The sequence below is a fragment of the Homo sapiens genome, chromosome 1, assembly GCF_000001405.40.
Source record: "Homo sapiens chromosome 1, GRCh38.p14 Primary Assembly".
Lineage (NCBI taxonomy): Eukaryota > Metazoa > Chordata > Mammalia > Primates > Hominidae > Homo > Homo sapiens.
Window position 1 is genome coordinate 90,169,560 of NC_000001.11, and position 8,041 is coordinate 90,177,600.

Sequence of the window (8,041 nt, forward strand, 5' to 3'; positions counted from 1 at the left end):
ACTGACCACATAGTTGGAAGTAAAGCACTCCTCAGCAAATGTAAAAGAACAGAAATTATAACAAACTGTCTCTCAGACCACAGTGCAATCAAACTAGAACTCAGGATTAAGAAACTCACTCAAAGCTGCTCGACTACATGGAAACTGAACAACCTGCTCCTGAATGACTACTGGGTACATAACAAAATGAAGGCAGAAATAAAGATGTTCTTTGAAACGAATGAGAACAAAGAAAAACATACCAGAATCTCTGGGACACATTTAATGCATTGTGTAGAGGGAAATTTATAGCACTAAATGCCCACAAGAGAAAGCAGGAAAGTTCTAAAATTGATAACCTAACATACAATTAAAAGAACTAGAGAAGCAAGAGCAAACACATTCGAAAGCTAGCAGAAAGCAAGAAATAACTAAGATCAGAGCATAACTGAAGGAGATAGAGACACAAAAAACCCTTCAAAAAATCAATGAATCCAGGAGCTGGTTTTTTGAAAAGATCAACAAAATTGATAGACCACTAGCAAGACTAATAAAGAAGAAAAGAGAGAAGAATCAAATAGACGCAATAAAAAATGATAAAGGGGATATCACCACCGATCCCACAGAAATACAAACTACCATCAGAGAATACTATAAACACCTCTATGCAAATAAACTAGAAAATCTAGAGGAAATGGATAAATTCCTGGACACATACACCCTCCCAAGACTAAACCAGGAAGAAGTTGAATCTCTGAATAGACCAATAATAGGCTCTGAAATTGAGGCAATAATTAATAGCTTACCAACCAAAAAAAGTCCAGGACCAGATGGATTCACAGCCGAATTCTAGCAGAGGTACAAAGGGGAGCTGGTACCATTCCTTCTGAAACTATTCCAATCAATAGAAAAAGAGGGAATCCTCCCTAACTCATTTTATGAGGCCAGCATCATCCTGATACCAAAGCCTGGCAGAGACACAACAAAAAAAGAGAATTTTAGACCAAAATCCCTGATGAACATTGATGCAAAAATCCTCAATAAAATACTGGCAAACCGAATCCAGCAGCACATCAAAAAGCTTATCCACCATGATCAAGTGGGGTTCATCTCTGGGATGCAAGGCTGGTTCAACATATGCAAATTAATAAACGTAATCCATTACATAAACAGAACCAATGACAAAAACCACATGATTATCTCAATAGATGCAGAAAAGGCCTTTGACAAAATTCAACAGCCCTTCATGCTAAAAACTCTCAATAAATTAGGTATTGATGGGACGTATCTCAAAATAAAGGAGCTATTTTTGACAAACCCACAGCCAATATCATACTGAATGGGCCAAAACTGGAAGCATTCCCTTTGAAAACTGGCACAAGACAGGGATGCCCTCTCTCACCACTCCTATTCAACATAGTGTTGGAAGTTCTGGCCAGGGCAATCAGGCACGAGAAAGAAATAAAGGGTATTCAATTAGGAAAAGAGGAAGTCAAATTGTCCCTGTTTGCAGATGACATGCTTGTGTATCTAGAAAACCCCATTGTCTCAGCCCAAAATCTCCTTAAGCTGATAAGCAACTTCAGCAATGTCTCAGGATACAAAATCAATGTGCAAAAATCACAAGTATTCTTATACACCAATAACAGACAAACAGAGAGCCAAATCAGGAGTGAACTCCCATTCACAATTGCTTCAAAGAGAATAAAATACCTAGGAATCCAACTTACAAGGGATGTGAAGGACCTCTTCAAGGAGAACTACAAACAGCTGCTCAATGAAATAGAAGAGGATACAAACAAATGGAAGAACATTTCATGCTCATGGATAGGAAGAATCAATATTGTGAAAATGGCCATACTGCCCAAGGTAATTTACAGATTCAATGCCTGCCCCATCAAGCTACCAATGCCTTTCTTCACAGAATTGGAAAAAACTACTTTAAAGCTCATATGGGAGCAAAAAAGAGCCTGCATCGCCAAGACAATCCTAAGCCAAAAGAACAAAGCTGGAGGCATCACGCTACCTGACTTCAAACTATACTACAAGGCTACAGTAACCAAAACAGCATGGTACTGGTACCAAAACAGAGATATAGACCAATGGAACAGAACAGAGCCCTCAGAAATAATGCCACACATCTACAACTATCTGATCTTTGACAAACCTGACAAAAACAAGCAATGGGGAAAGGATTCCCTATTTAATAAATGGTGCTGGGAAAACTGGCTAGCCATATGTAGAAAGCTGAAACTGGATCCCTTCCTTACACCTTATACAAAAATGAATTCAAGATGGATTAAAGACTTAAATGTTAGACCTAAAACCATAAAAACCCTAGAAGAAAACCTAGGCAATACCATTCAGGACATAGGCATGGGCAAAGACTTCATGTCTAAAACACCAAAAGCAATGGCAACAAAAGCCAAAATTGACATATGGGATCTAATTAAACTAAAGAGTTTCTGCACAGCAAAAGAAACTACCATCAGAGTGAACAGGAAACATACAGAATGGGAGAAAATTTTTGCAATCTACTCATCTGACAAAGGGCTAACATCCAGAATCTACAATGAACTCAAACAAATTTACAAGAAAAAAAACCCCACCCCATCAACAAGTGGGCGAAGGATATGAACAGACACTTCTCAAAAGAAGACATTTACGCAGCCGACAGACACATGAAAAAATGCTCATCATCACTGGTCATTAGAGAAATGCAAATCAAAACCACAATGAGATACCATCTCATACCAGTTAGAATGGTGATCATCAAAAAGTCAAGAAACAACAGGTGCTGGAGAGGATGTGGAGAAATAGGAATGCTTTTACACCGTTGGTGGTACTGTAAACTAGTTCAACCATTGTGGAAGTCAGTGTGGCGATTCCTCAAGGATCTAGAACTAGAAATACCATTTGACCCAGCCATCCCATTACTGGGTATATATCCAAAGGATTATAAATCATGCTGCTATAAAGAGACATGCACACGTATGTTTATTGCGGCACTATTCACAATAGCAAAGACTTGGAACCAACCCAAATGTCCATCAATGATAGACTGGATTAAGAAAATGTGGCACATACACACCATGGAATACTATGCAGCCATAAAAAATGATGAGTTCATGTCCTTTGTAGGGACATGGATGAAGCTGGAAACCATCATTCTCAGCAAACTATCGCAAGCACAAAAAACCAAACACTGCATGTTCTCACTCATAGGTGGGAATTGAACAATGAGAACACATGGACACAGGATGGGGAACATCACACACCAGGGCCTGTTGTGGGATGGTGGGAGGGGGGAGGGATAGCATTAGGAGATATACCTAATGTGAATGACGAGTTAATGGGTGCAGCACACCAACATGGCACATGTATACATATGTAACAAACCTGCACATTGTGCACATGTACCCTAAAACTTAAAGTATAATAAAAAAAAATTCTGGATTAAAAAAAAAAAAAGAGAGTCTGGGAGACCAGGAGGGGTCATGTGGTATTTATAAACTTGTTCCCCATACATTTATCAAGTCCCTAACTATGTGTAAAATACCATATATTATTATATAACATTTATTTTAGCTATGTTGATTTTGACTCCAGTTGGATTACAAGTCTCTCTGAGGGCAAAAACAGTCTTTTTGAACTTATAGTCATCAATTTCCCTTTTAAAAATCATTCAGCCAATGTTTACTGAAAATCTACTATATGCTTGGAGCTATGATAGAGATATACCAAAGGTAAAGAGACACTTGGTTTTGTCAGGGTGACACCAATAGTTACATATAACACCAAATATAGCTGATCTACTTGAGTTATATGATGAATGATGTTTGGGGATCATTGATGGAGGTTATTAATATACAGGAGAGTTGCAAAAGACTCTCAGAGGCAATATGAGCTCAATATACAACTCCCTATATATGTTCCCAAGTGAGGAATTTCCTCTATGCATCGTTGATAGGAAGTCTTCTCATTTTAATAATGCTGATAGTTATATAAAATGCTTGTTTCCATTTTGAACCATTATCTTGGATGGAAGTTATTTCTTATAAAGTTATCCAATATTTCTCTCCCTGTAATGTTAATCTATTAATTCTATTTGTGAAGCTACACATAATAAGTCTAATTAAAAGAGATATCTTTGCTATTTTCCAAAAATACATTCAGTTCTTTTAACTATTTCTCATTTGAGGCTAGTCTGTAGACATTGTTTAGACCTGTTATTTTGGGTTTCTTTCTTTTATGGCAGGGACTGGCACACCTACAACATTGCTGGATGTCTTGATGTTTGCATGGGTAAAACAGTTTTTGAAGCTCAATAAACAAATGTACTTCATATATTCAAATGTTATGCTCTCCCTAGAAAAGAATATGAGATTAGTAAAGTGGTATAGCCATTATGTCATCCCCTATGCACGGCATAGAGTTGTGAAAAATCTGCTGGAAGAGGCCTTAGAGACTTACCTTGTCCAATCTCCTCATTGTGCAGATGGCGAAGCCAAGATCCAGAAAGATAAAGTGGCTTTAAAAGTGTACACAGTTAGTTTATTCCCCCAATCTTAAAGTATTTCTAGTTGGTATTTGAAGATGAGGCATGGGAGAGTTTGGGAGCTCATTGAAAGATGAAAGTGAAGTAATTATTTATCCTAACTAAAGGAGAATCTAAAATACATGCTTAAAGCATTTTCCAAGTAACTGTTTATATAAGTAATGCTGTTGCTTTTTCTCTCTTTCCTCAAAGCCTCAGGGATTGGCTATTCTGACCCACAGCTTTATCTGCTGTGGACAATCTTCTATGTCTGTGGTTTATTGGGTTTAATGATTTATATTTGCAAGGGAATGCTTGACTGGCGTGGGCTGGGTTAGTTCAGCTAGAGAAACTTACTAATAAAGCCAAGGTTGAGGAGTTTGGTCCCTGTGAGCTCCTCAGCTTTGCTGTGATCCTTAGCTGAGGCAATGCTCCTAATCCCCATTAGTCATTGCACATGTGTGGGCTTTTGAATGCCATGGCTGCAGGGCCTGGGGAGAGTGAAGAAGGATCATTACTTCCAAATACTCACCTACAATGGAAATCCACACATGTATTAAACACTAATGATGATGATGATGATGATAATTAGCGTAGCTAATGTTTATGAAGCACTAAATATGTTGCTGGAACTATGCAAGTATACTTATACAGGCATTATCTTGTTTAATTCTCACAACTCTGTGAGGTAAGTACTATCATCTCCACTTTAAAGATGGGGGAAATGAGCCTTGAGATAGTCAATTAACTTGTTCAAGTTTAACTGTCTTAGTCTGTTTGGGCTTCTGTAACAAAAATACCATAAATTGGGTGGCTTATAAACAATAGAAACTTATATTTCAGAATTCTGGAGGTTGGGAAGTTCAAGAGCAAAGTGATGGTAGGTTCAGTGTCTGGTGTGGGTCCACTTTCTGGTTCAAAGAGGACACTTTCTTGCTGTATCCTTACATGGTGGAAAGGCCAAGGCGGCTCTCTAGGGCCTCTATTATAAGTATACTAATTTATTTATGAGGGTTCTGCCCTCATAACCTAATCAACTCCCAAAGCCCCCACCTCCTAATAATGCCACCTTGGGGGTTAGGATTTCCACATATGACTTTTAGGGGGACATAAACATTCAGTTTATTGCACTGACTAATGTGTAGTAGAGTCTGCCCAAGATTTGAATCTGGGTTTGGCTACAATGTTCATGATCTGATTGAAGCATCCAGCTTTACCAGCCTGAATGCTTGATTATGCATTGGTTACCTCATATATACCTCAATTCATATATTAATTTGCCTGCTCTTATTTTCTTATTAGTAGGATTGAAAGGCATTAGAGTAAGACATGCTACTTAAGAGCATGGACTCCAATGCTAGAAGTGCTGGGTTCAAATCCTAGCTCTACCATGTATATTTTAACTCTGTGACACAGAGAAGGTTGTTAGACCTCTTTGTGCTTCCTCTTTCACATCTGTAAAAATGGGAAAAATAACAGCAAATGCTTAGGATCTTTGGAAGGATTAAATTAGTTAATACCAATAGAGAGTTTAGAGCAACACCTTGTGTTTATTGCAGGATGACCTAATAAGGAACTAACAGCAGCATCGTAGTCTTTGAAAAATGTGCTTATTTACATTGTCTTATTATTCCAGGATGCATCACTCTCATACTGCAAGTCTGCATGCTCCTAAAGAGAGGATGAGAAAGCTGGGCAGCTCACAGAGAGCCACTGGGGAATGTGTATTGAAAACAAGCATAGACTCCTTAAAAAATTATGGAAGGTGGCCCTGTGAAAGTTTAAGCTTTTGTCACCTCAGCCCCCTCCATTCTTTTTTGAGTGTGCCAGGAACTCATCAGTCATAGAAGGCCATTGTGCAATATCCTTTGCTGGGAAAACAGAACATGTATATTGCATTCCCTCCCGTGGCCAACCTGTTCCCATGCTTGTTATCTGGCTCCAGCCTCCCATTAACAGAATCCCTGGGGGAAGAGCAGTTCCCTTACATTAGGTAGTAATGCTCTTGTTAATGATAAATTGATGAAGAGCGACTTTTTTACATTAGGTGAATGGTCCTTTGATAATAGGATTGGAATCAGAACAGGAGTTTTATTTTATTTAGCTGGGAGAGTGAGAACTACCTAAAATATTCTTTTTTTCTTGTCTGTTACTAGAAAGCAATAAAATCAAAGCATTTTTGTTTTCCATTTAAACAGAACAACTCAAACTGTATGGATGTGACAGGTAGCTTTATTCCTTTTTTCTTTTACACTGTCTTTTGGTGGGTGATGAGTTTCAAAATGGATCTTAAGACTTCCACATAAACCATGGTTCATTGATGTTCCCACCATCATTCACCTCACGCCCCCACCTCTCCTCCAGTTGGGCTGAGTGGTGAGAGTGTGCTTTCAGCTGGATTCTAGGTCTTTTCTTCTATATTGAGGAGTAAAGTTACTCTTTCTAGAGAGGTCTTGTGATTTGGTTCATTTTCAGATGTCTGTGGTCACTGTGGCCTGACCTTGGAAAAAATACTGAGTTCTGGATGGCCAGTAGAACTGTAACTGGTTAGTGAAGCTCTTTGGTGTCTAACTAACACCCTGAACAATTTGGCCTTCACTTCACCTTTTAGGTTGCGAAAAAATGAGATAAGCTTGTGTGACTGAGAGAGGAAGCTCTATTTCTTAAGAAATTGACCCCATGGTGATGGGTACTTTGTTTGTTATGGTTACCTAAATAAAGGCAGCTTGGGGGCCAGCAGGTCCTAGTTACTTAGTCTCTTTTGCTTTGGTTCATGAGACATCTGAGAAAGAGTCTCCTGTTCTAGATTAAAAGTCCCCTGTAATTTCCCCCAACGATTTTTAAGAAAGAAGAGCTTTTGAGAAATTCTTTAGATTCCTTCCTAAACTATACACATTGGAAACTAATCAAAGTCATGTTGACTTGTTATTTAGACCCAGGATCTGTATCAACAAGCATAATCCACCTTTGGGACAAATTATTGAAAGCAAGTACTTTGGATGTAATTAGCATAGCATACACTTTTGAAAAAAATAGTGTTGGCATTCTGTTTTGGTTGAGTGATTGTAGGTTCATAATAAGTTGCTTATTTGCATGATTGATCCTTACTTAGTTTTTTTTCCCCCCAAAATGTTTAGAGGAGAGTAAGTTCTGGGTAGGGATATGTTTTTGAAAAAAGGAAAACAATAATTTTTGAGCATCTACTATATGTTGGACATTGTGATAGATGCTTTATATAAATTATTTTCTTAGGGCAACCCTGTGAGGTAAATTTTTAAATCAGTTTTTTACTCATCTAACCAATTAAAAAAAAAACCCAAGACTTGTGATCCCATGGCTAATACATTTGTTGATCTGGGATTCTAACCAGTCTGACTTTCAAGTTTACTATAAAGTGTAGTAATGATGAATTGGACACAGGGGCTCAGGAAGCTGTGGGCCACTGGACAGGGTACCACTCTACCAAGGAGCAGCAGCAGAACTTACTTAATCAAGTTTCCACATTGCACCCTTTGTATGAGATGC

General features: G+C 38.2%; 1 annotated feature.

Moving 5' to 3' along the window:
• Window positions 6,892-7,424: an enhancer, noted in NCBI's record as "NANOG hESC enhancer chr1:90642009-90642541 (GRCh37/hg19 assembly coordinates)". NCBI's record gives its function as "activates a minimal SCP1, AML or CMV promoter by ChIP-STARR-seq in primed H9 embryonic stem cells {active_cell/tissue: H9 hESC(primed)}" and the evidence as "EXISTENCE:reporter gene assay evidence [ECO:0000049][PMID:30033119]".